Below are 27973 nucleotides of genomic sequence, written 5' to 3' on the forward strand. Positions count from 1 at the left end.
TGTTTGTATTTGAGAATAATTCACCAACTCTTAAAACGGAAGGAACCCTAAGAAAACATCTAGGCCTAAGATAATGCCTGACACATAGTAGATGCTGAATAAACATTTAATTGAGGGAATCTGGAAAAGCTTCTTATTTTAATCTTAAAAATCAAAACCAAGTCTGAGCATTGGAGAGGTTAAGTAACTTGCTCAAGATTGCTCAGCTGGTTAAAGAGTTTAATCTACAATTTATTCCTTCTAATTTCCAGCTTTGACTTCTTTCCACCAACCTGTTGACTTATGTGTATTGAACTGTCTCATATAATCTTCTGAAGTTGCATTGTTGAAAAACAATCAGAAAGACCAGTCCTGAGGTTCATCATCTCCAAAAGTCATGCAACATATGATGTTCACATGAGATGTGAAATATGTAAAGAGTCATATATTTTTATATATAATATGCAAAATATAAATCATGTATATATTGAATCAAAGGTCTGTTTTGAAGGCTAAGGGTCAATAGCCAATCTTCCATGACTTATTTTACCTAACAGCACAGTTTGCATGTCCACACAGGTGATGGCAGTCCACTGACCAGTTAAAAGTTGTTTGGCTATTTCAGCAAAATGTTTATCTTTGTGTGTTGTTATATTGATTTTTTTGAATCTACCTACGAATGAGGCACTAACAACCTCAATGCATTAGAGTCCTGATAAACTTATCTTGCACTATTTTGGCCTATGTGATAGCTAACCCATTGACAAAAGAAATCCAAGGTGATAAAAGCCTTTCTTGGCCACTTGTTAGCCGGGTCAGGCTGTAAAATCGTAACACAATGCAGGCCTCTTCCATGGGGCACCAAAAGGCAGCGATGAAAAACCCCCCTCACTTCCATATCCAGTGGAGTTGTAGTTTATTACCATAACCCTCCCAAGTCAAAAGGACACCAGTTTCAAGCCTTGCAACTTGGTGCAGACAGGGGTTTTCCCCTTTACCCCACTCTGCTGGGCCTCTTTACCTGTCCTCTCCTACTGTCTACAGGTCCCGAACATTAGAAAATAGAAAATGTGATGATCTTTGTGTGTCTCTGTAAAATGTGTGTATGTGTGCGTGTGTTTGGGTGTAACGGGCCTCTTGTTTGGCTGCGCGGCCTGTCCGTCACTGCGCGGGCCAATGGCAGGCTGCCTTATATAAAATGAGTGTTTTCAGTCTCTCCGGGTTGCATGTACTGTATGTGGAGCAGTGTACAGTGAAGCGGAGGCAGAGCGGCTCCGCGAGCTTCTCTCCACTTTCCCATAGAGAAACCCTGACTGGCCGCTGAGGGCTAGCTACACACACGCCCTCACGCCCGGCGAGCCCGCGAGGTAGGCGCCCCCCATCCCCAGCCCTCCCTGGGCGCACTCCCCTCACTTTCTGTTTTCCTACTCACTTGCGAGCCGCCGGGCTGCAGCCCCAAGGACTCCGCGGCAGGAGCAGCGGCGGCGGCGGCGGCGGCGGCGGCGGCAGCCGGTAGGGTGGACTTGAGGAAGACGGAGGGAACCCCGCGCGTCCGGAGCCGCCGCCAGCCGGCCCGCTCCCTGGGCACTTTCCCCCTCCGCCAAAACTTTGGGTCGGGAGAGGTCGGGGGCGAGGGTCGCGGCGGCCGCGCCGGCTGGGGCCGGGGGGCGGGGGGCGCTGAGGCAGTGCCCTGCGAGCGGGAGGCTGGGGGCCGGGCTGGGGAGTAGTAGGCCAGCCGGTGCCAGGCTGCGTTTGCAACCAGCACCTCTCGGCACACAGGCAGCGCCGCCTGAGAGGGGCACGGGCGCCGGGGCGCGGGCTGGAGCGGCCCCAGGAAAACAACAACAGAGCCCTCACGCCGGCGGGCGGCTCGTGGCCGCCCGGGGAGCCCCAAACTTCATCTCGGCGAAAGTACGTGGAGCCCTGCCTGGTCTCGGCTGCCGGGGAGGTGGGGCCTGGGGAGCAGGGGCAGTGGAGGAAGGTACGAGGAGCCAGCCTTCGGTGGATTTATTGAACGTTTCGTCTGCGTTGGTGACCGGGAACAGCAGCCCAGTTGCTCGTTCATCTGGAGAGTTGGGATTTGGGTGTTCCGGCCCCGCAGATCAGTGCCCTCTCACCCCCCACCCCTACCCAAATGCGCGGCGAGTAGAGAAAGTGCTGTTTTAGTGCCAGAGTAGCCTGGAGGAAGAATAGGGGGAGAGGGGGAAGAGGGCGAGGGAGAAGGGGAGAGAGAAGAGGGAGGGAAGGGGGGGGAGAGAGGGAGACAGAGAGAGAGGGAGAGAGAGAACGGGAGGGAAGAGAGGAGGGGGAAGAGGAGGAGGGAGGCTGTGTCAGGATTTTGCTTGAATGTGGGATTATGTTGTGTCAATAAGTTTAAGGTGGAGAGAGCGAGGCTGAGGGTGGTGGTGGAGGGGAGGAGGAAGGCCTTGGCCGTTTAAAGTCTTATTTCTGAAGGTAAGTTACGGCTTTGCCTGGTCGCGATGACAGAAAACTTGCAGATCCTTTATCCGGGGATGGGGTCGATGCCTCTAGAAAGAGCTCCCTAGCCCTCTTAAGCCACACTCGTGTTACACTGTTATTTGCTGCGATCCGGGTCGCTAGTAAATTACAGAAATCAGACTCGAGGTTTCTTTTCCTCCTCCACCTCGTCTCGCTCACTCACCCTCTGAAATTTATTATCATATTTTATTTATTTTTTGGTATTGTATGAAACTTAACATAACTGAGACCGAACCCGAGTCCTGTAATTTACAAGGACCCTGAATCCCAGAATCTGGAACACGTTTATGTGTGAAATAGCCGCGATCATTTCTGCTAAATGAGGAAGGTAAAACGAAACGATGCAAAAAGCTAAGACACAACATGTACGACAGAGGGGGGGGGGGGGAGAGGGAGAGACAGAGAGAGAAGCTATTTTTTGCTTTCCTTTCTGTAGGAAGGAAAATAAAGCGTGCATTCCCCTTCCTTCCCAGTGTGTAGGGTCTAGTCAATATTTTAACTGTCTGTGGACAAATTAGTCCAGGTGGATCTTGTTGAAAAGTTTCGCGAGGTGGGGTGGAGGTGGGGGGGGGGGCGAAGGGGAAGGTGGGTGGAGGTTGTGGGGGATGGGGACGGAGCGAGCTCTGCCTCTGCTAATGGTCATTGGCCTGGGGCTTTGAAACCATTGCCTGTCCTGCTAATGACACGTCCAGTTCTCTTCTCCCGGCCGCGGACGCCGGGCTGCCGTTCCCGGGGTGGCTGACTGGGACTGGGGTACTTTCCCCGCGCGGGGAGGGGCGTTCTTCGCCATCTCCTGGGGTTGCCCACTGGCGGCGTGGGGGCCCCCACGCGGCCCCCCGCCCCTGCGCGCCGCCGCCACCTCTGCTCGCGCGACTTTTGTAGGCAGCCAGCGGCCCAGGGGCGCCGGGGGTCCCCGGCGCCGACGTCCCCGCGCGGCCACCCCGGGTCCGGCCCCACGCGCTCTGCGCCGCGCGGTCCAAGCCCGGAATGGCAGCGCCGGGCCGGGCGCCGGCGGTGCCTCCCTGGGGGGCAGCGGAGGCAGAGGCAGTGGCGGCGGGATCTTCGCCGGGGCCCGCGGGAGGAGGAGGAGGAGAGGGAGAAGGAGGAGGGGAAGAAGGAGGAAGAGGAGGAGAGGGAGGCGTTTTCTGCCCAGACCGCCGCCAGTTCGAGCAGGCACGGGCACGGGGACACCCCACTCGTTGCTCCTCCGTTATGGAAAGGTGTTTAGCAGACTTTTACGCCCGGAGTGTGGTATTTGCACTTCATTTTTTCTTCCCCCCTCTTTCCCAAAGCAAGATGGACTCTATTCCCTTTCTCTTTCTCCCACTGCCTCTGCCTCTGTCTTGTCAGCCTTTAAGATCGACATTTTGTACTAAGATGCAAACTTGATGGTGACCAGCAACAAAGCCGGGGTGGGATCCCTCGCTCTCTTCCTCCCTCCTTGTTTCCTAGCTCCCCCCACCCCGACCTCGCAGACCTGGTGGCCCTGCACTTGCCGCTGTGGGCTTTGGCGAATGTGTTTTCCCTGGTCGGTTCCTATCTCCAATCTGGGGATTGTGACCCGGGCTGGGTGTTTGGGAGACGGCAGTGGCCGCCCAGGTCTGAAAGGCTGAGGGCTTCGATACCTGGACCCGCTGCCGCCGCGGTGGCACCTCCCGCCGTCTCCTGGGCAAGGCGAGGCTCGGGCTGCCTATCGATCCCTATGATTTGGTTACTGGTGTGTTTGTCCTGGGGGCGGTGATCACTTGTGCAAGTTGATGAATGATCGCGGTGTGGTTTTTGCGTTTGCAGAATGGATCAACTTTCTGCTTTGTACATGTGGGGAGTAGGAAGCGAGGGTACGGGAGATACCCTAGAATGCCAGTTGGGTTGCCCCCCAGCCTCTGCCCTTTCAATACGGGGAGCTTCTTTGCCTTCTGTTCCCACAGTTCTCCAGTGTCGGGGGGTGGTAGAGAAAGGGGAGGGGTTAGTGGGAGCTGGACTCCTGGGTTTTGGTACCTTCTCTTCATAGATGTTACAGGACTTGGGACTGTACTATTGTAAAGCCCTACTATACTGATGATGTACCTTTATTTGATACTTTATAGGTCACTATCATATGACAAAGGCTTTGCCGCAGTTCATCTTCCTCCCTGTGTACTTTCCATTTGCCTTCCTGGGTAAGTATGCAAACTGTTCGTACAGGGAAGCAGGATGACAATTAGTAATGACATAAGGGTCTTTATTGTTCACAGAGGAAGATGCTTTATTGGGGTTACAGCACCCCAGAAACCTTGTCTCACTGAGTTTCCCACAGCATAAGTCAGTTTATGATTCTTAGTGTTTAGAATTCAGCTGTGGGTTATTATTAAGATAGTAAATATTCATTTTGTGTTTATCTACAAGTAATTGTCGTTTCAAAACTTATTCTCAAATAGACATTTTAATTTATAATGAAATTTTACATGGCATTGAAGGTCTAGTAAATTTAATGCTAGACAATACTATAGGAAGAGTGCAGTGTATGAGTGGAGAGAATTATTAAAAACCCAAGGAAGCATTGTGCAGAAGTCCTCTAATTATAGTGACTGACATTTGCTTACTCTCTCTCAAGTTCTCTTTCTTGAGTAACCTGTGGTGTTTGTAACAGTTACTTTTGGGGTGGGGAAAGGTGGGATTGGCAGTGTGGTAAATCTAGCGTTTAGTGCACTAATTTGATTCAAAATTGATCATAATTTCTTTTAAAACTTACATGTTTGGAGAAATTAGGAACAATTCGGTAGCCTGTAAATTTAATAAACAAAGACTTTGAGATCTGTTGTTAAGTGCCTTTTTCAGATATATGACTCCCAAGTGGAAAAATCTGCAAAATATGTGTGGGACAGTAAGTGTGTGGAAAATTTGTGAGAGGTAACAGTGTGGGTAAGAACTGAGGGTTTACAGAGCATTTGAAAGCAGCACAGTGAGCCTAATCTGCAGAAAACCACCTTGTAAGTTTGCCCCTCCATTGTAAAGGAACACCCCAGGTACTCTTGAGTTGTTGATGTTTGGAAACTAGTACTAAATTGTGTAAATCAGCTGTAGTGCTTTGTAATATTACCATAGTGAATTTAGAGATTGTATTTTGTGAATGAAAATGAACTTGAACTTACTTTTCTGTGAAAGAAAATTTAGAGACCTCATCTGTGGTGTTTCCTGGATTGCTGACATAATGTGTACATTAACAAAATTATTGTCTTTGTATTAAGAATATAAAACTGTTGTCTTAGTATTGAGTTAGAGGACTAGACCTTTCTGGTAGTGTCCATTTGGTAACAAAATATACTTTCATGTTATTGAAGACTTTAGATAATCTATGTAAGTTTTGCATTGAACATTTAGAAAATCTAGAGAACTTTAGATAATCTGTATATGTTTTGCATCGAACATTTTCTATGGAATATAAATATTGCATTACTGCTGATAATTAGGTGGTTTGTTCACTAAGAGCTCAGAATACATCACATACATAGCAGGCCAATCGGAGTGTCAAAATGAGAAGGTTCTATAAGTTGAATTTAGTGCACACTAAAATACATGGATTTCATTGTCTTTGAGTTTTTTTAAAGCTTGTTTGAAAAGTTTCATTTTGGGCAAGAGTATTCAAAATGCATTCTTGATTACTAAAGAACACCACATTTATACTGTTAGGCACATTATTTTGTTCATTGCAACAAACTGTTAATATTCCTTCCCCATGGAAATGTGTTTGACCAATTCAGAAATTAATATGATAGGTTAGTAATGTTGAGAATAAAAGTCTGATAAGTGCTTGTATTTCTTTGAGATATCAAGTGACTGCTTCATTAAAACAATATTTTCAAGAACAGTCTTGGACTTTGAAGTCAGTGAAGTAGTTCTGATAGTGTAAATCTTGTAATAGTGATCTAAAAAAAGTCATTTTGACAATGAATTGCCAGTTATTGGCATCTAAAATGTATCTATTAGATTTGAGGCTTACTTATCAAAATAAGAATTTAAAGACGTTTTTGCTTCTCCATTTCCAAGTGTTTCCAAACTTCCCATTTTATTATTCTGCATGTCTCTGTTAGGTTCTGAAACTGAAGCCCTAGTTTGCATTTCACATTTAATGCTAGCTATTGAAAAGGTGGCTCATCTATATTGTTTCCTAGTGTTACCTCTTTGGAGGTACTGTGGCAGTTTTAGGAAAAATCTTTCTCTAGAGACATAGATGTTTTTTAAAATTTGCAATTTTTGAAACATTAAGAAAATGTATCTTGATCTTCGTATCCATTTTTTTGTTCAAGGTATATGAGTTTTTGAGATAGCTGTGCTTTTAACATACTTTGAAAATGGTATATATAGCACTTTTGACCTTATAGATCTGATTTTTATACTTAATCCATTAAAACAGATTCATGTAGACATTGAATTTAGAACATATCTTTGAATGAAAATGAGGTTGCACATATGATTACGATTGGCCTGTGCCGTAAGTAACTACGTAGTTGATAAGTTTTCTGTATGTTGTAAAAATAAATAGGTCTGAAGATGTTGTGCAACTCATGAAAATCTAACTCAGTAGCTAAAATATTTATAAAGCCACACTTTTCAGTAAAATCACAGGCAATTTTTAATTACTAGTCAATAGTCAGCCTACTAACAGTATATGTTTTCTTACATTTCATAAAGAACATGGGTAAAAGCAAGGGGTATATTTTTAAGTAGATCTTGTCATGAATTTCAATTACTTTTATATTAGAAATCTTTAATAGAAATGGTAAAGGCTTCACAGCTCTATACTACTAAAAAAAGAACTTTTTGAAAACAGTTCCATTACAGATGTGCCTTTTTGCTGTACTACAGGAAGTCCCTGAAGTTATTATTAGTGTCTTAAAAAAGTATATAAAATGTTGACAATTGTTACATCAAATGCTCCAAATTACTAAATATAGGCATTAATTTTAACATATTACATTACCACCAACGTGGCATACCTGTGCTTTAAGATTTAACCTTAAGCAGGTGCTTAACTTAAGAGGAAGATGCTTTTCTTGAACTTGTACCTTGAAGTCCATCTCATTGTTTAACATTTCACCACTGAGGGTACCTTTTGAAATGGGCCTGAGTGGTATCTCTCCTGTATTTTTTGTCAGATTCCTTCTTGTCACTATGAAATGAAAACAAACTCAACTTTACTAAGGACATTGTAATCTTACTGCTTTGTTTTTATCGTGTGTCCCAGGGAAATCAGATGCAGGCAGTCCTCAGTACACTGAGCAACACTGCTATGAAGGGAATAGGTAAAGAGAAAGACTGAGACTGAATGGAGGCTCTTCCAGCTTGAAGATTCTGTGACTGTCATTCAGTCACTGGGTGTTGTACTACCTCAAGGGTAGTCATCACATACTGTGTCTAATTGTCAGTATTTCTGTATTTTAAGTCATACCTGTGGAAAGCACTTTTTGATTACAACTTCGCTCAATGTTCATATGTGATATTATCCTTTAGAAGGCAGTTATATTTCCTTGAAATGCCAGTACATCATTTTAAAACTGTACAGATATACCCAGAAAATCCTCATGTATTAATGGGGATTGTCTTCATTTTTTTTTTTTTGCTTTCAAGGAAACAGGTAAGAATTGAAATAAGTGCCAGTTATGTGAGAGAATACAAAAGAAGCAAGCCAGTAAAGAATTTCATCTAAAAGTATATATAAATAGAAGATGAGAGAATGAAAGACTTAAAAGATTAAATGTAGACCATGAAGCATTGATATTACCAAATGTACCAAAATGTAAACTTAATAAGTTAAAATATGTAAGTTCGAGAATCTAGATAGTGAAATGACTTCAGATAATGAGAAGGTTTGTATAAAATGCAAAGTGACAGGCTAGGTTTGGTGGCTCACACCTGTAATCCCAGCACTTCGGGAGGCGGAAGCAAGTGGATCACCTGAGGTCAGAAGTTTGAGACCAGCCTGGCCAACATGGTGAAACCTTGTCTTTACTAAAAATACAAAAATTAGTCAGGTGTATTGGTGGGCACCTGTAATCCCAGCTACTTGGGAGGCTGAGGCAGGAGAATCCCTTGAACCTGGAGGTTTCAATGAGCTGAGATTGTGCCACAGCACTCCAGCCTGGGCGACAGAGCAAGACTCTGTCTCCAAAACAAAACAAAACAAAACAAAACAAAACAAAACAGAAAAACACAAAGTAACAATGAGAATGAATTGGATTTTATGAAATCTTAAAAAATTAAAAATATTTTAAAATGTTGATTAAATAATTAAGCCAATGGTTAAACATGGTCCTCGGATGAAAAGTTCAGGGAATAAAACAAACTCCTGGAACAGAATAACTGAACTCTTAAAAGGAACATACAAGGTTGCATTTTTTGTAATAGGAATAATTAAATAAAAGGCCAATAACCTACTTTAGAGGAGAAATAAGAATGGGGTAAAAATTATTCAAAACAGCTGTATTTCTCAAATACTTTTGACTGAGGTATATTATAAAAAATACCTTTAACATCCCAATCCACATAAAAGAACTGAAACAAGTTTCCTGAAACAGGACAAAGTGCAGTGCCCTCTGATATTTTCTATTCCTAACTAATCTTTATAAATCCAATCTGTTTCAAGCCATTTTATTAAACAAAAAATACTAGGTATTATCTATCAAATTGATTTCATGACTTATAGTTTGAAAAACACTGGCCTAGAGTGCCTGCTTGCCTTCTTAGAAATGGAGGTCTCTAGGCCTCATCCTTTGATATTCTCATTCAGTGTTTCTGGGGTGGGGCCATGGAATTTAGATTTTAGCACATGTAGCAGGTGATTCTAAAGCAAGTAGGAGGTCCTCCAATTGACTTTGAGAAACCTCAGTACAAAGGACAGATGGCCTAAGATTGGATGTTCTGAATGTGGGGCTGAAGTTCATTGACTTTATGAGGTGTCTTGCATCTTCACCATTCTTTGGCTGTATTTCAGTCAGTATGTTTGCAATACTGAGGAAGGTCCTCATCACCCTCTGTAGGTGCTCCTGTAGTAGAAGGTGTAGTACAAGGAACAGAGGCCGTACCACCAAAGAGCTCTAGGTTCCACTCCTGCTGCCTCTATTGCTTATTAGTTGCGGGACTCTGAGCATGTTACCTCACATCCCTTAAACTTTTATTCTCATATGTGCACAATGGGTATGGTAATGTTTACCATGCAATAATATGGGGATTACACAAGACAGTAATGAATGTAGGACCCTTATTCACAGTTAGCGCTCAATATATAGTCTCTGTTTTTGTAATTACATCTCATCTCACCCTACCCTCCACTGTTTGAAATTTCTGAAAGCCTTTTAGTTTTTTTTTTTTCTCTAAAGTGATTCTCACCTCTAGTTATCATGAAACATGGGTATGTTTTTAACTAGACATGAGGTGCTGGACAAGTAATTTGTTAGGGAAGGAAATAATAAGAGTAACCAGAAGGAGAAAAGCCAAGCACAGCTGAGGCACGCCACAGTAAAGTACAGTCCTCCTTCAGGTTTGGGGAATGATTTTCCCACCTCTTTAAAAAAGTAGAGTATGGGATGAGAGAACAGCTCTTTTCATATTTCACGGTAGTTCTCCCTTGTCAGCACAGGGCATTCTCTCTGGTGACTTATAGATATTAGAATGTCTTAGAGTATCAGTTCTCAAACTTTCTTCCGTCAAGACACATGTGTAATCCCAGCCCTTTGGGAGGCTGAGGAAGGAGGATTGCTTGAGCTTAGGAGTTTAAGACTAGCCCGGGCAACATAGTGAGACCTTGCCTGTACTAAAAATAAAAACAAATTAGCTGGGGGTGGTGGTGTGTGCCTGTAGGCCCAGCTACTCGGAGGCTGAGGTGGGAGGATCACTTGAGCCCGCACGGTTGAGGCTGCGGTGAGCCATGATCGTGTCACCGCACTCCAGCCTGGGTGAAAGAGCAAGGTCCTGTCTCAAAAAAAAAACCAAAACAAAAACATGTGACCAATGTTTACATATGGGACATTATGATTTCCCCTGGTTAACAGACAGATAAATTATGCTGTGAGTTTTATAGGTAGTTCACAGTGTGATAAAGCCACTCCTTTTTTAAAAAAAGTCAAGAAAGGCATATCAAATTGCAAGTGAGAATGGTGCTATAATGAAAACTTCGAATATACTTAATAAACACATGGAAAATTGTAAATTATGGTACTTTAATTGTTCTAATTGGGGTGTTCCTCATAAACAAAACCCATCCTTGTGTCAAGGCATGGAGATTGAGAAGTGTTACATATGTAGTGCTTAACAAATTACATTGCACAAAATAGGCACTTGAAAAGAGGGGCAAGCTAAGGAGAAGATAAATGGGGAATACATTAAATCCCTGAAATCTCAAAACAATGTGAAAACCAAAAGCTGGGGAAATGTACAGAAAATACAGAAGACTACAGGTATCAGGGTTTTCAAATGGTACTGTCGTACTCAAATACACATTGACACAAAAATTTAAGTAGTCTCAACAATCATTAAATTTATGTGAATAAATCAAAATTAAGTGACTTTGGCATTTCCTAATTTTTAAGGTTATATTTGCCAGGAACGTCTTCCCACTTTGCTAAATTTTAATTTGCCATACGTTTTTGATCTCCGGTAAATTAATAAGCTCTCTATATTTTGAAAACGCCTCAGTACTTTGATGTAGTAGTATTGGAAATAGATTCACAATCTTTTATCTAAAAAGCTCTGAAAAACTAAAAGTTTTTTTTTTCCTTCAGAAGTGTGGTATCAAAACTCATTTGGTAGCAAAACCTAACCCATACTGTCATGGGATTGTTTAAAGTAGTTTTCAAGCCTGCTTAGAATATTCACATATTTTGCTGGAAATAATAATATTGATTAATTGTGAGGTATTATCCTAGATATAGCTAGGAATGTTATGTAATATGTGCTATAGGTACCATTTTGCCTTTTTAAACCCCACAAAAATCTGAATCCTGAAGCATATCAGGACCTAAGGGTTTTAAATAAGGGATTGTGATCCTATTGCATTAACTTCCTTGGTTGGTAGAGTGAAATTCTCTGATATGCCTAACCACTTAACCCAATGAAAAATTATTTTGCTAACTTTGATCACTGATCATTGAACAATTTAAGTTCCTTGCCAGCTAACAAATGATGAAAGATTTTTTAACATTATATATTACCTCAATCAGACTGTCTGCTGAAACCCTGTGGCTCCAAATGTACAGGTGTAAGGCATAAGGATATAAAGTCAGGTAAGCAAAATGGTAGTCATTGACATCATTTGTACCATCTAAGTTGAGCCAAGTTAAAGGCTTCTGGGTAAGGAAAGCTTAAACTCAGGCAGAACCTGGTTAGTTCACATTTCACTGAACCTCTTATATTCCATTTTGACGTGATGATTCCTTTGTTGTTGTTTTTAGTTTTATTAAACACACACTAAAATCTGCATAACATTTGAAACCTGTACCATGTTGAAAAATGTTTCTTATGTTTCTTATGTAATTATGAAAGGCTACTTTCATTAATGGTTTATTGTTATTAGAGGTTATATTTCCTTTATTATACTGCTACCTGCACATTTTTTTTTCCATCTATCAGGAAAATAAAAATAGACAGTGTTTTCTGTAATTTAGTCTGTTCTCAGATGAGAATGTTTTCAGGTTATATTGTTTTGTAGAGGTTCTAGATACCTTTATTTTCAATAATTAATTATGAAATGTTCAGATCTTGCCTTTTAATTTCCTATAAAACTACTTTAGAAAAATGAAAAATATGTCATGGGGAAGAGTCTATATGGCAATCTAGGAATAAAGTAATAGCTTTATCTGATTTGTTATGGTAAGACTTAAGTCAGTCTTCATTTGATATAGACTGGAACTGTTAATGCTAAGGAATTGTTTATTGATAGGGCTTTCATTATTTATTTACATGACTACATTCCTTGGTGTAGGAAAGCCACAGATTAAGTAATTCAGAGGGACTCTTATTAGCAATGCTGATTCTTTTAATATTAAAAATGCTGGCTTGTTTTTCAGCTTTTGGTGCACCTCTCAAAACTCACCCAAGTGTAGAGTTCTCATGGACTGCAGAGGGAATGTGGTGGAGCATGGAACAAAATGAGAAAATAATTCTTTACATCCAGCTGTCAGACTTTGATTATCTTTTGAGTTATTGAAATTATCATTTTCTTTCTTCCCTCCTAGGGTTTCCCTCCCTTCTTTTCCCTCCCTCCTTCTCTTCTTCTTCCTCTCTCTCATCTCTTTTTTTCTCTCCCAGTCTATTATGTTTGGTAATGTGCATCTGTGATACTGCATAAAAATATTTTAGAATGGGAATAGGGAGTTGAGCTTTCCTTTTTTAAAACACCTTTGTTTGAGTTTAAAGATCGATTTGTAGTTTTTGAGTCCTTTTGGTATTTATCACTGCCTATATAAAAAATTGTTGATAAATGAGCTTGAGACTTATACACATCCCTACATATGAAAGTGTCAGTTAGGAAGGGATTATAAGGAACCTTTATCAGGGCTCTGTGAAATTAAGGCACCTGTTGTTTTTATGAAATAATGGAAATAAACTCCTTATCCAAACATTTTCAGTTTTAGGTTGATAGAATGACTACACAGTTTCATTTAAACTTCAGGAAAGTTGAATGCAGTTTTTAGAAGTTTCCCAAAGAGTATTTTACACTAGGAGGAAGGGAGAAAGATAATCTGGACTAAGGGCTGCCTTATGAGGCCCAGTTTTGTTTTTATTACTTTATTTTTCACAACAACTTTCTGATGATAAATACTCGATTTTAATGACAAGGAAACTAAATCTCAGGTTGAATAACTTGTCTGAAGTCGCACAGCTGGTAAGTGATCATGCCAGGTTTAGACTGCCTGTCTGCAGTGCCACAATCTCCTGAGGCTTTTTCTCTATTTACCTGCCATTAGGGCCACATTCCAAGAAGTTAAAAATGAAAGGTTTGGGACAACTTTTAGCTAAGAATTCTCCCCAATTTTTTTTTTCTCCTAGAAGAGAGGTCTTCATTTTCAAGTAATAAGGTTGAAACTCTGTACTTTATCACTTGTAAGGAAAGTTACGTGAAAAAGTCTCTGACCTGGGGCTTGTAAATTTTCATCTGTAAGATCATTGTCAAAGACTAAGCCTTTGTTTATAAACTTAGTATATAATTGATGTTTAGTCAGCTTTCTTTCTAGTTGGTATATCTAGTATAGAAATGTCTATGGCAGCTGTTATTTTTAATATTTATTAATTCCTCTGGTATATCAGTAGAAATTATTTATTCTTTCATGAGAAGTTGAGTTTTCCTAGCTGAATATTCTATATCGTTTGTGCTCTGTTCCTTTTTTTTTTTTTTTTTGAGGCAGAGTCTCACTCTGTCGCCTAGGCTGGAGTGCAGTGGCACAATCTCTGCTCACTGCAACCTCTGCCTTCTGGGTTCAAGCGATTCTTGTGCCTCAGCATCCCAAGTAGCTGGGATTACAGGTGCGGGTCACCACGCCCGTCTACTTTTTGTATTAATGTTTTTAGGAGAGACAAGGTTTTGCCATGTTGGCCAGGCAGGTCTTCAACTCCTGGCCTCAAGTGATCCACCTGCCTCAGTCTCCCAAAGTGCTGGGATTATAGGCGTGAGCCACCACACCCAGCCTGTACTTTGTACTTTTAAATACTTAATCAGTGAATATATTTTACTAAAGGAATTAACAGTATAACATGCATAATGTTATAAAACGTTTACTTCTGACATTAGCTTTGAAAGGCAGTTCCATATTAGTGGAAAAATTAATAAGCGGATTCATGGCCTTCACTTCAGAGTGCCTGATCAAACATGAATCAGATATAGGGTCAGTCAGCAGTTCTAATTCATCAGTTTAGGAAGTGATTTAAGTGTGCTTTTAATTTTACCTGAGGAACTTATTTCTGCTGTGCTAAGTGGAAGAGATTTCATAAATTACACTTTTGTATGCGAGTAGCCAAACATTTCGAAAATACAGCATAACATGTTGCTTTTTGGTACTAAGAGCCCTATTCATCTGAAATTAAAATCTTTTATCTTTGCAAATTCAGCAAAGTCAGAGCCTAATTCAGATATGGAAGATTAAAAGTTTGTCTTTTTTTTAAAACTGGCTTTTCTTTTACCCTGATCCATGAAACATGGAAATAGGGTATCTGTCTATTTTAGCAAAGTAGCTTTTGTGGATATGATCTTACTAAGAGTGTGCTCTTCTTGCCTTGTTTTAGCCGAACAATGGTTTTCCGAAGGCGCTCGTCTTTTGTTTGTTGTGTTTCATTCCCCACCTCCAAAAAACACCATTCACATTGGTTGGTAAACGGAAATAAGTTTAAACTTTATGTCATTTGACACCTTTCTTTCTGCTTGTTTTCTTGGGTAATATTCGAAGAACTTTTTCCAAATTAAATAATTAGGTCAAGTGTTGGTGAGGCTAGGGTAGCAGAAACTATACCAATTTTTTCAACATTCATTGATTGAGTGCCTACAGAATGTTGGTGCTTGACCTAGACTTTGGAGATATGAAGATGAATATGGAACAACCCTTGTCCTCAAAGCAAACATGTTCTACTGGCTGGAAAAGGCTAGTCAATGTAAATATCTATCATATAAATTAATCTGTGCTAATTGTTTTAATAGATATGGTATGAAATAGTGCTGAGTAAATATCTGAAAAACTGGCCAGTTCCAGCATAGGCGCTAGACCTTGAAATATGGGACGAGTTTCTTACTGTGGCCCTGTGTTTGCCCGTTAAGTCTGTAGAACTAATTTGGCCTAAGCATTATAGCGAATTTTTAAAAATCAGACTTCTAACAATAATTTCATTTTTATTTAAATAGTAGTTCATCCTTTTGGCTTCTGGTATTTTAAAAGGCCACTGACATTTTTTGGATAAAGATTTAAACATATTAAAATTATATTTCAGTCAGGTGTTTTGGACTTCCATTTTATTTATTGCTATTAACGTCACCATATGTAAAGACAACATGACTGATTGAACCAAAGAGAATTGTTCAGCTATGTAACATATCTGAAAGAGCATTCTACATATACCAAATAATGTTAAAAGCGCACTTAATAGATAGTAAGTTTGAGCTAGATGTACAGGGGTCCAAACATATGCCAATAAAAATACTACAAACCACTGTAGCTGATACTTTTAGTTAAATAAATTATACTAACTGGGAGTATATTAATAAGAGTTCTAGCCCAATATGGGATTCCGAAAAGGGGAAAATGTGTTTTCCTATCTTGAGGACTAATAGATTACAAATTATGCTCAAAGCTTCCATCAGGCAGTTTTTAGGTTTTCCAGGATGTCTTCAATCTGTGCTTACAGTTGTGTTTTCTCTTGTGGTTTAGTAAGCCATGGCCTGGAGAACACCCGTGAGCTTGGTCAGTCTTCTCTTTTATGCATAGTGATCTAGGTCTGGTCTTTCATTCATGACTTTTGTGTTTGTTATACCTCAGAATGTATGTGTTTTCACTCAGTTTTATTTGTGGCCCTTATTTGACTGGTCACTTCTGGACATCAGCCCAGTTTAGATTAAAACTTTGTTTCTGAAATATTGTGCTCAGTGTTCCAGATGCCAGTGTACTTTAATAACAAATACATTCATATGTGAAATCATAAAGAAGAAGCTGACCTGGGAAGAATTTGTTCAAAGCTCACATCAGTAATAACCCCAATGTTTACATTAAAGCAGCAAAGAGAAACAGACACATGGAATAGTAACTGTGAGTCTTTCTTCCATTCTTTGTCTTGGGGCTGTTTGACATCATGGAAGCATAACCACTTGGATCTTGTTATGTACCAGTCTTCATGGTAATAAGAACTTCTTTTTAGGTTTCGTATGTGGACATGCATTCTTATCTCATTGGGTGCAATACATACTTAGACCCAGAGAACATGTTCAGATTGTCATAAGACTAGGGTTTTTTTTATGTTAATAATTTTCTACAGATAATCTCTGCATGAGCGATGCAAATTCATACAAGTTATTTGTAGTTTTCTGAAAAGTCTTGAGGAATGGGATCACACATGAGCACAGAATTATACGTTTGAGGACCTGGTCTCACGTATATGGTGATGTATTTACTGCATAAGGAACTGTGATCATGAATCAGTTGTTGTTTCTTTTTCTTTAATTTTTAAAAAATATGACCTTATATGGTCATTTCTGATCTATATATTTCAAAAACAGCTAGATGGCTTTTAAGTCTAGTATATCCTTAAGAATTAGGATGATCGATACTTTTCTTCATTAAATAGATATTTTTCCGAAAAGTTTTGACTTAGTTTTTCAAATAGAACTATATATATATTTTTTGATATACTATAATTTCAGAATGCCTCATATTTATTTTTAATTGATCTTCAATTAGCAGTGGCTGTTGGTTTTACAGATGGAAGCTTTAATATTCCCAGGTCTCTATATTAACTAATCAATGGTCTATAAAGTATACATAAGGGAGCTTTGAAAAGGATCAGAGGAACACAGTACTAATCATTGTGTGAAGAGGAATCATCTTTTTTTTTTTAGGCAAGGTCTTACTCTGTTGCCCCAGCTAGGGTGCAGTGGTGTAATCATAGCCCAGTGTAGCCTCAAACTCCTGAGCTCAAGTGATCCTCTCGCCTTAGCTTCCAAGCTGGGACCACAGGAACATGCCACCACACCCAGCCAATTTTTATTATTTATTATTTTTTAGTAGAGATGGGGTCTCACCATGTTGCTCAGGCTGGTCTTCAACTCCTGGGCTCAAGTGATCCTCCTTCCTCGGCCTCTCAAAGTGCTGAGATTACAGGTGTGAGGCACTGCACCTGTCCAGAACAATGTTTAGTAAAGCAATAATGTTGCTTTATCATAATAATGTCCTTTATCATAACTATTTGGTAATTCTGGGTTCAATGTATTGAATTATCTTTATTTTTTGCAACATATAATTATTGAGGACCCATAATGTATAAAGCTGGGTTAGGAATTCTGGAGCTTGCAGAATAAAAAGGCAGCAGCTCTGGTCTCAGGATATTTCTAGTATAGTAGTGACATACATATACCAAATGTGAAATAGAAGGTAAACATGCCATAATATCCATGTGTTGCAGGGATGGTGAGTACAGGGTGATGGGTGATTAGGGAGGGAAAATTGGGATGGAATTGAACTTCAAGCTTTGGTTGTATAGCTGGATGTCTAGGAATCCTTGCAAAATGCTTACTTAATCTATCAGAGAGAAAGTGGACCCAGTGGAGGGCCCAGGCTAACCCCACCTGGGCCAAACAACTCACCCCAAATGTGTGATTATCCAAGTCAATGACCTTCCAGACTTTTAAAATGCTATTCCCCTCAGTATAAGAATTTGAGCATGTGTTCCTTGATATGTATACATTTCTTTATAAATTATATATACTAGGCTATTAATATGGTATGTGTATATCGAAATATAAATAGCTTAGAAATTGAAAAAGATAAGATAAATTGAATATAAATAAAAATTTAATATTTTCCTGTCACTCACTCCAAGTGGACTATCCTGTTCATGTTTTTGGTGTTTGAGAATCTCACTTTGGAGACCACTGGTCATTATTGAGCAGTGTCACACAAAGTTTAGGTAAGTTTCATGAGACCTGGGACTTTGTTTTGTTCACTGCTTTATCTCTAGCACCTAGGACATGGTAAAAGCTCAACAGATACTATTAAATGAGTATGTAGAATTAGGCTGGTTGATAGGGATGAGAACAGTCTAGCTCAGCATGGGGATCTGGTAAGAATTGGGACAATTTTTGTTCACTGTTTTATCTCCTATGCCTATAAAAGTACCTGCCAAATAGTAGGGATTCAGGATATATTAGTTGGACAGTGTTTATGTAGTTCAGCACGAGGGATCTGGCAGAGGCCATAGATTTATAGACATGAAAAGTTAAGTTCTAGAAGCTCCCCTGAAGCAGTACAGCATATAGAGATAGGCCAACTATGGGTAGGCAGAAAGATGCAGCCCATGGGGGTCAAAGTGTTAGCAAGAACATTTCTGAGGAATGGCTTTGGTAACCTCATATCTTAAAGCAAAAATTGTGACCATCTTAAGCAGTAAGATCTGGATCTTATCTTTGTTTCCCGAGTCCTAGGATGCAGTATGGTAGGTGTCTAATAAATTTTTTGTTGAATCGAATTACTCCGTTTTATATTAATACTATGTACTGGGTGTAGGAGGCCCTGAGCCTGCTGGAGTGGATCAGCATCAAGATCAGAGGCCTGTAAATGAATCCTGCTTCGAATGAAGCAAAGCCAGTGATTCTGGAATTATGTCATATGTAGATAATGATTTTAAGCCCTGGCAGTGTTGCCTGTATAGAGGTACTCTAGTGACCAAAACTGCCAAATCACATTATGTGTATATTTATTTAAAGGTTGCTATTAACATACTTTTATTAACATATTACCCATCAAGAATGTGGAGTTTATGATTGAATTATTTCATATATGCTGCTATCCTGTTCCTTCTTCCCTCATCACTAAAGTTGGGATATGTCCTGGATCACCCCAACCTATACTATTACAATTAGTACTGAATTTATTTATAAATACATAAAACAAGGTAGTTTATGTATTCACTCCTCTTTTTGGAATTTTTTTTTACTGAGACTTCCTTTTTAAAATGATGGTTAAAAATTCTTATTTTATGGTCATAAAATAAATCTGTCATGCATATACTTGAGCATCATCAGAGTTGGGGAGAACAAACATTTCCTCCCTGAGAAGCATCTTTCTCCTTTAGTGGCTGGCCACATGAAAGCATGCCTCGTTGGCTCTCTTATACTTGTTATTGCAACTTAGACTTTACATTGTGATTTCACTGACGTTGCTTTGTTTGCTCTGTATAACCATGCTCTTAGGTAGGTGTCCTTATTCCCATTTTACAGATGAAGGAACAGGCTCAAAGTTGTTAAGTGTCTTGACCTAGGATATTGAGTTTGCAGTGGCTCCCCTGCGACCAGCACTCATATATTCTGGCCATTTGTCTAGAGAGCAGTGCAAAATTTATCTTTTTGAGCTAAAATTTTTTTTTCTTGTACTTAATTTCAACCTGATAAGTTATTATAAATATTTGGAGTAGCAGTGGTGAAGAAAATCCGGTGCTAATTTTGTTCATGCCCTGTGAGCTACAAAATATCAGTTAAGGCCCATGTAGGGCCTTAAATTTTGGGTGTACTTAAATTTATTTGTGCATTTAAATAAGTGTACTAAAATTATGTAGAAAGACTGTCCATTTGACTTAACTTTTTTCACAACTTGTGATGGCAAATTAAATGTATAGTGACCACATACTGACAAACAATGAACTTTTAGGTGTATGTTGGGATTTGTAAGTGAGATTTGGATTATATTTAGATTATGTTAATCCCCCCCCCATGAGACATATTTCTGAAGTTACAATGAAAATTAATTAGAGAATATGATTTGATATTCAGATACCTGAGCTACTCCTATTTCTGTAACATGTTCATATTGTAACTTGATATTAACTGATGTTTTTAAAGAAGTATAAGCAAATTCTATAATTTTTTTTTTTTTTAAGAGATGGAGTCTGGCTCTGTTACCCAGGCTAGAGTGCATCGGTGTGATTATAGCTCACCACAGCCTCAAACTCCTGGGCTCAAGTGATCCTTCTGCCTCAGCCTCCCAAGCAGTTGGGCTACAGGTGTTTGTCACCACGACTGGATAGTTTTTCTTTTTAAACTTAAAATGCTTTTTAGTTTGGCACTCCGTAGTAAAGGAGGTTCCAGAAGCCAGTAAGAGAACCTCTGCCAACTATGAAAGAGAAGATATTTCTATCTACAAGTTATTTCAGGATCAATTATTCAATTAATATTTTATATAATAGAAAGGTTTTATTTGTTAGGACTTTATCTTTAAGTTCCCCAAGAGTAAAAAGGTCTAGTCATTATTATACTGTGGGAGAATGATAGAAGATTGATTACATTAGAACTCCAGAACTTCTATTTATTTAAAAGATTTAAGATTTGACACAAAAGCGGTTTATTTTAGAATGTTTATTTCTATAGATTGTCATTACTTCAACTCAGTTTTCATAATTTGTATTTGAGTATACTAACTTTGGAACATAGTGTAATATTAATGGCTACAGAAGAGGTTTGTTGAAGAATTGTAATTTGAAAGAACAGCATATGTTTATTGAAGAGAGCATATAGAGATGGAAGTGGTTAGAAACTATGAACTTTCTTTAGTTTGGCTTTTCATGTAAAGTGGAATATGAAAACAAAAGTCCTAAAGACAGTTCAGCAGAGTTCCTCTTCACCCTGTTTTTAAGCAGTGATGTAAACCATGAATTTAGTGTTTCCACCCTCTTTTATACCATGCAACAACCTGTGAAGTAGGAACTATTATCTCCACTTTGAATGAGGTACTGAGTTTCAGAGGCTCAGCAACTTGCCCAAGGTCATTCTTCTGGTAAATGGTGTTGCTGGCATTCCATCCCAGTTCATTCTGTCTACTGGAGGCCATATTTATAATCACTCACTCCCCTATCGTGCCTCCTAGGCTTCCCACGTGGCATTCATACCACTCCACAATGCATGGACCAGTCTAGGCTCCCACTGAATTTCTTATGCCTATGGCAATAAGGCATGGCTTTCCAGCCCAGGGTAAAAGAGCTTTTTCTCTATTTGTGTTTCTGCATTGTTAAGCCTGTTGTCATACACACAGTTGCTCCTCAGTAGCTTATTTCTTGACTCATTCTAAACATATGGTAAACTTCTAAAGTTAAAAAAAGTTAGTGTTATATTGAGATGAAATATCTGTGATTAAAAAAATGAACATCATGTCACAATATAAAAAAGAAAATAGGTTTGGATTCAGATAACTTAAATCCAAAGAGAATTATATTTTAGCTTTAAAAGGGATTCTACAGATGATCTTGGAGCATTATAATCTATCATTATAAATTTGAAGAAAGGAAGGCCTAGATTAAGAAACTAGGACCCAGGCCATTTGAGTGGCAGAGGTGGAACTGAGATATAAGACTTCTGGTTTGGTGTTTTGCTGTAGAAATCTGTTTAGCTCCAAAATGATGTAAAACACATTTTTAGCCAATTCACGACACCATCTTTACAGCAGGAATAGGTGAACAATTTGTTTTTATTGTTTATAAATGGTTAAAAAATTAAACCAAAATGTTATGTATTGTTAGAATGAAACTATAGGTAATACATTATGCATGTCAACTTTGAAGTTATGTTACTAGTTCTACTTTATTTAGTGGCACAACATGATTTTAGTAGTTAACGGATAATAAACTGTACGTGGCTTCAGTTTAGTTCCCTGTGTCCTGTGAAAACAGAGCAAGAATTTGCAAAACAATAACACATTGTTAAATGGCATACCAGTTTATCAAATGCCCTAAGTTTATTACAGTCTGATTTTAGGAAAAACCATTCCAGCTTCACAACAGCTCATCCTAATCTTAAGCAAAAGAGTCTTTAAAAGCCATTTCAAAGCTGTTAGATTTTGTTCTGTCCATGAAAGCATAAATTGCTCATAGCTGTTGATGAGGAGAAAAGAAGTTTGTAAAGCCATAACAGATTTAGTTGTGAAAGGGTCATTTAACTGATTTGTGTACTGCGACGCCTCATGGTGGCTGTATTAAGAAACTACTGTAGTGAAATATTGCGACCACATACCTTGTCACTCGGACTGAATCCATTTACATGTATGCAGGCTAAACATTAGTAAGTTAAAATTCCAAATAATATTTTTAAGGTTAGTATATTTGTAAGTTTTATTTGGGAGAAAATATCTTTTGTCCTGCAGTTCAGGGAGGAAACTTCATATGCCTTATCAGAGTTCTGCTCCTGGGAGTTCACCTGGGAAATGACCATCATTCAGCCCTGAACTTCCAGAAAATACTAGCCAGGTAATCTGGGCAGCTGCGACTCTATTCTGCTCCTTTGTGTAAATGAGAAAAAAGTTACCTCTTTTTGTGATACTTTATTTCTAAGTGTTGGAAAATTGTCATAATAGATTGATTTTGTTAGAACACAACACTTTACTGCATTTTGAAATGTCGTCACAGAGATACAGATCTGTGCTTGCTGATGTGAATGGCATCTCTTAGGGTTCTAGAACATAGCATGACTTCCACAGATGTATACAGAGACCCTGCAGGCAGTTATATCCTAGGAAATCATGTCTTTAGACATGAGATGTTAAAACATCACATCTGGAAACCTGTACATATTATATATTTATTGAATGTAAAATGCTAGTTATTTGTAAAATCGTTACTTTAAAAGTTATAAATATAATAGAAGCCTGGCACAGTGGCTCACACCTATAATCCCAGCACTTTGGGAAGGCCAAGGCGGGCAGATCACTTGAGGCCAGGAGTTCAAGACCAGCCTGGCCAACATAGCGAAACCCCATCTCTATAAGAAATAAAAAATTTGACTGGGCATGGTGGCTCACGTCTGTAGTCCCAGCACTTTGGGCGGCCAAGGCGGGCGGATCACGAGGTCAGGAGATGGAGACCATCCTGGCTAACACAGTGAAACCCTGTCTCTACTAAAAAAAAAAAAAAAAAAGAAAAAAAGTAGCCGGACATGGTGGCGGGCACCTGTAGTCCCAGCTACTCAGGAGGCTGAGGCAGGAGAATGGCATGAACCCGGGAGGTGGAGCTTGCAATGAGCCGAGATCCGCCATTGTACTCGAGCCTGGGCAACAGAGCGAGACTCCGTCTCAAAAAAAAAAAAATTTTTTAAAAAGTAATAGAAATTAAGAGAATACATTATAGAGACGTTTCTTTACCTCTGCGGTTTATTGACAAAAGTCTTTACATTCTGTTACATATCTCTTGGCCCAACCAATTTAATGTATTTTCCAAGTTAGTGTGTCTTTTAGAGTTTGATTAAAGAAGAAAATTTTCTGACCTTTATTAAAAAGCTTTTCTTTATTAGATGGGTACAGTAATAGAATGCAAAATGACTTTAAGCATCTATCCCCTTTATCCATCATTAAAAGCTAATTGTCACATAATATAAGTGCAACTTGATGGGATTTTTAACGTACCAAAAATTGGCAATCTGTGATGAGGAAAGTGGGCTCTGTGAGGACTCAAGTTAAGAGAATGAAAGAAAAAATGAAGCTTTTATAAATCTTAAGTGGTAGCTAAATGGAAATAAAAGCTTTTAATTTTTGTAGGAGAGTAGTGATAGCAGATCAGTACCTTATGTTTTGCTGGAAACCGAAGTTTTCAGAATGTGCTTGTATGACTGCTAGGGTGGTGGTTTGGGCCACTGAAGACTGTACAGGGTTAATTCCTTATGTTTGGAAAAATGGTAATGCCTTCTTTATCTTTGTGCTATCCATGGAGTTATTTTCTTAACAAGAGCAATAATGACCTTTCTTGCTCCTCTTTAGGGAATGGCAATTGGTGGGATATTCAGTAGGAAATCCATTACCCTGTCTGTGTCTTGGGTAGTTTGTGGTGCTCCCCTGGTCCAGTTTGGGTCTTGCTCAGTAGGTAGTGATGATGCATTAAGTGGATAAAACCACAGTCATGCTGGGGCTTTCATTTGGCTCAGTGACATGGTTGTAAAACACAGGGTTTCAAACAAAGATTTTTGAAATGGTGCTCTCTTACTAATCCTCCTCACAGTTTGGTAGAAAGGGCACTAAAATGTTGCTGGTTTGTAAAAAGTAGAGTGCTTGTTTATCGTAGCTCAAAGGTGCTAATTGTTTCTAGCAGGAGTATTACACATGAAACCTCAAGGTCATGCTTAACCCACTGGCTACTGAACAGTTTGACTGCACTGTAATACACAACCTGTCCCAAGCTTTCATGCAGCTTCCTAGCTCGGACTCATTAGATAACGTTAGTTTGTTTGAATCAGCACACTCTTCTGTGCCTTCTGAAGATCTAAGACCTGGGAGCTACTGACCATCCATATTTTCATTCCTTAACTCCTAAGACTGTGCCAAGATGTTACGTCTTCTCTAGTCATTCCTGCCTATAAATTATTTGCAATTTTGTTTTACCTTTACTACTGTCATAAATCTAGGAAATTTTAGTTTGGGCAACTTAAGGACCATAGTTTTTATAGCCCATTGTCAGAACACTAGTTATTTACTTACTTTTTGTGACATAAAACCCAGATTTTTTAGATTCCATGATACACAGAACCATATGATTAAATCAGTTGTTATTATGTGCTTTTAGTGACAAATCTTTTTAGGGCTACATCATCTTATCTTACATGAGACAGATAATTTCTGTAAGAAACTTGTATCAGAAACATGTAGCCTGTCGTGAATTTTTATTACTTTCTTTGTTGTTTATTGAAAGGGTTGGGACTTCTGAGTTAAATAATTTAAAAAGTTACATTTTACTGTTATAAAAATCCATGTTAATCCAAGAAGAAAATTTCTGTTAAATGCCTTTTTGATTTAAAGTGTGTGAATTAGATATTTGATCATGATTTGGGACCTGAAAAACTATCTTATTTCTTTATAAATGTAATATAGTTACTGTATCTGAAAGTAATATATGGTTCCTTTATCCTCTCTACTACTGCTGTATTTTCAGAAGGAGAAGCAATTATATTGATTTGCTGAGTAACTTCTTACTCAACCAGTTTCTGTTATAGTATATTAACATAACTGTTCTGTTAGTTTATTTATTCTGACTTGTGGGCATGAATATTTTAGGTAAACTTTATAATGTTCAAGATAGTTTGAAAGATTAATCAATGCTTATTTCCTTGCTTTACAAATGTATAAGAGCTATTCAAGTAACAGTTATCTAAACAAGTTGTTTTATAATGAGGTAGTATAAGAGAAGTATTTCCCTAGACAACATGAAATAAAGCTCAAACATCCTCAATTTTTTTTGTTTGTGAATATTTATAGCTTTGAATCTCAGCTGTAGTCGGGATGATGGCATAAATTGTAATTATACTGCAGAACTGAAAGAAAAATTTGAAAGAACTGATAATGGCTCTAAAACAGTATCTTTAATAAGCTAATGGTATTGGTGACCATTCAGTAAGTATCTGCTCAGTCAATGAAATCATTGAACTTCATCTTATTTGTGTAAGTGATGATTGTGCCCTCCATGACTTCACAGTACCTAGTTCAATACCTACTAAGTAAATGAGCATTCATGAATGAATGAAATGTAAGGCTGAATTTTGAATTTTGCAAGCTTTTTTGACATACGACTTTAAGATCTGATCAGATCTCTCACAGATTCCCATGAAACCTATCCCAGTTGGTTTTCTTTTCGTTTTATATTTGTTCTACCCTTCAATAAATGAATAAAATATGATATTAAATATAATATGTACTTACTGCCTGTGGTGTACCCGGCACTCTTCTGTGTACTTTCAGATATCTCACTTTGAAGATCATAACAAATATTACTGGTAGATGTAATTTATCCAACCCCCAATTTCTTGTTTCCTCCACTCCCCCACCTCACTCTGCTCTCCTTCCTTCCCCTCCCCTTCTTCTTTCCCTTCTATTGATCTTATTCTTCATTTCTCTGTTATTTGACAAATTTTGAGACTGAGACTTTGAGAGGTTGAGTAACTTAGGTGGAATCACACAGGAGGGCCAAAGCCAACTCCTTTTCTACTTTCATCACATATCTAGGGACTCTGACACCTAGATTCTAATTGCTGATTCCTGGAATGGTTGCTTGTCTTTGTCATTTTTATGGCTTCTTTCTCATGATATAAAATGCAATTCTGGGCTCAGCCACACTCTCAGAGCCTAATTAAGTTGGTGTTTTAAATACTTACCTGGGAGGCATCGAGGTTTGGACGTATGATTGTGTGTCAGACAACTCCTGTTTGAATGTCATTTGTACCACTTCTTAACTGTGTCAGTATGAACAAGGCACTTAACCTCTTGGATTCTAGTTTCCTCATCCATAAACGAGGAAAATAATAGTTACCTTTTGAAGTCATTTTGAAAATTAAAAAGATACTACCTATATAAAGCTACTTACTAGTCATAAATTTATACTCTTGCTAAAAACACTTTTGCCTTTTTCGTTAGACGTGTTTAGCGTATCTGTGTTTATGTGTGTGTTCCATTTGTCTATTTATAAGCATACTATGTGGTCTGATAATTTATGAATGAGAAAAACAGATGCAGAAAACATCTGGGAGAGATGTTTTTGGGAGATGTTTTGGGAGATGTTTGGGAGATGTTTTGGGAGAGATCTTAATAATGGTTAGTAGTATACATTTAAAGACAAAGCAGAATATTATTTAAATAGTTCCACTGTGGAAAGCAGTTAGGAGATTTCTCAAAGAACTTAAAATAGGACTACCATTTGACCCAGCAGTCTACTACTGGGTATACACACAAAGAAAAGTAATTTGTTTTGTCAAAAAGACACATGGGCTGTTATGTTCATTCCAGTGCTGTTTACCATAGCAAAGACGTGGAATCAACCTAGGTGCCCATCAACAGTGGATTGGATACAGCAAATGTAGTACATATTCACTGTGGAATACTATGCAGCCATAAAAAAGGAACAAAATCATGTCCTTTGCAGCAACATTGATGCAACTGGAGACCATCATCCTAAGCAAATTAACGTAAGAACAGAAAACCAAATACCACATTCTCTCAGTTATAAGTGGGAGCTAAACATTGAATACACCATAGACATAAAGATGGGAACAACAAACCCTGGGGACTATTAGATGGGGAAGGGAAGGAGGGGAGCATGGGCTGAAAAACTAACCATTGGGTATGCTCACCACCTGGGTGACAGGACCATCCGTATCTCAAACCTCAGCATCATGCAATATACCCATGTAACAACCCTACACTTGTATTCCCTGAATCAAAAAGTTTTAAAAATAGAATATGAAAAATAAATAGTAAAATAATTGTATTTATTCAACAAACATTTATCAAGCTTTTACTCAATAAATGGGGTAGGCTCCATTCTAGTTCCTGGGACTATAGTAATAAGACCATTAAAAATACTGCCTTTATGAAGTATACTTTCTAGTGGGGGAAAACAGAAAATAAATAAAATAAGTAAGCTGTATGGTGCATATTAGATGGCTATATGTTATAGGAAAAATAAAGCAAGGGAAGGAGAGAGAGGGGAGGTTGCTCTAGAGTGTGGTTTGTGATGAGATAGGGATCATACTCTCAGGAATTATGCAAGTCCAGGATAGGTGTGTGCAAAGATAGCGAACAGTGTGCTGACCTTAGGGATGTCCGTCCTCTTCCAAGACATGCACGTCTTTTTCTGCACCATTTTTAGAGTAGCTCTGGCAGACTTGGAGACATTCCTGTTCAGCATGAAAAGTTGTACAGAAGTTTGTACCTGGTGGCAGACTTTTGGGAATCTACTATTATGCTTGGAAGAGGATGCCTGGTACTCTGGATGGCTTTCTCCATAGTTGGCAGAATTAGGGGCAAGCCATGTGCAT

At 38.9% G+C, this 27973-nt stretch overlaps 1 protein-coding gene across 11 annotated transcripts in view, besides 6 other annotated features; it reads left to right on the forward strand.

Annotated features, from left to right (window-relative positions):
- Window positions 818-867: an enhancer, noted in NCBI's record as "active region_20203". NCBI's record gives its function as "activates an Ori minimal core promoter by ATAC-STARR-seq in GM12878 lymphoblastoid cells {active_cell/tissue: GM12878}" and the evidence as "EXISTENCE:reporter gene assay evidence [ECO:0000049][PMID:35858748]".
- BBX (BBX high mobility group box domain containing) overlaps window positions 1201-27973 on the forward strand; it is a 288378-nt gene continuing 261605 nt past the window's right edge. For 7 of the 11 annotated variants that reach the window (XM_024453646.2, XM_011513001.3, XM_047448599.1 and 4 more), the window contains exons 1-2: window positions 1201-1346; window positions 4566-4637. The gene's annotated coding sequence lies outside the window, so the exon portion shown is untranslated. Of the gene's footprint in view, window positions 1347-1397; window positions 1492-1684; window positions 1891-2112; window positions 2434-3626; window positions 3730-4565; window positions 4638-27973 lie in introns of those variants that run through there. The other 4 variants (XM_024453648.2, XM_024453647.2, XM_005247642.5 and 1 more) reach the window with 4 other exon arrangements.
- Window positions 1268-1577: a silencer, noted in NCBI's record as "silent region_14587". NCBI's record gives its function as "represses an Ori minimal core promoter by ATAC-STARR-seq in GM12878 lymphoblastoid cells {active_cell/tissue: GM12878}" and the evidence as "EXISTENCE:reporter gene assay evidence [ECO:0000049][PMID:35858748]".
- Window positions 1608-1697: a silencer, noted in NCBI's record as "silent region_14588". NCBI's record gives its function as "represses an Ori minimal core promoter by ATAC-STARR-seq in GM12878 lymphoblastoid cells {active_cell/tissue: GM12878}" and the evidence as "EXISTENCE:reporter gene assay evidence [ECO:0000049][PMID:35858748]".
- Window positions 1808-1877: a silencer, noted in NCBI's record as "silent region_14589". NCBI's record gives its function as "represses an Ori minimal core promoter by ATAC-STARR-seq in GM12878 lymphoblastoid cells {active_cell/tissue: GM12878}" and the evidence as "EXISTENCE:reporter gene assay evidence [ECO:0000049][PMID:35858748]".
- Window positions 3331-3540: a silencer, noted in NCBI's record as "silent region_14590". NCBI's record gives its function as "represses an Ori minimal core promoter by ATAC-STARR-seq in GM12878 lymphoblastoid cells {active_cell/tissue: GM12878}" and the evidence as "EXISTENCE:reporter gene assay evidence [ECO:0000049][PMID:35858748]".
- Window positions 3741-3790: an enhancer, noted in NCBI's record as "active region_20204". NCBI's record gives its function as "activates an Ori minimal core promoter by ATAC-STARR-seq in GM12878 lymphoblastoid cells {active_cell/tissue: GM12878}" and the evidence as "EXISTENCE:reporter gene assay evidence [ECO:0000049][PMID:35858748]".

This window comes from Homo sapiens, chromosome 3 (genome assembly GCF_000001405.40).
Source record: "Homo sapiens chromosome 3, GRCh38.p14 Primary Assembly".
Classification (NCBI taxonomy): Eukaryota; Metazoa; Chordata; class Mammalia; order Primates; family Hominidae; genus Homo; species Homo sapiens.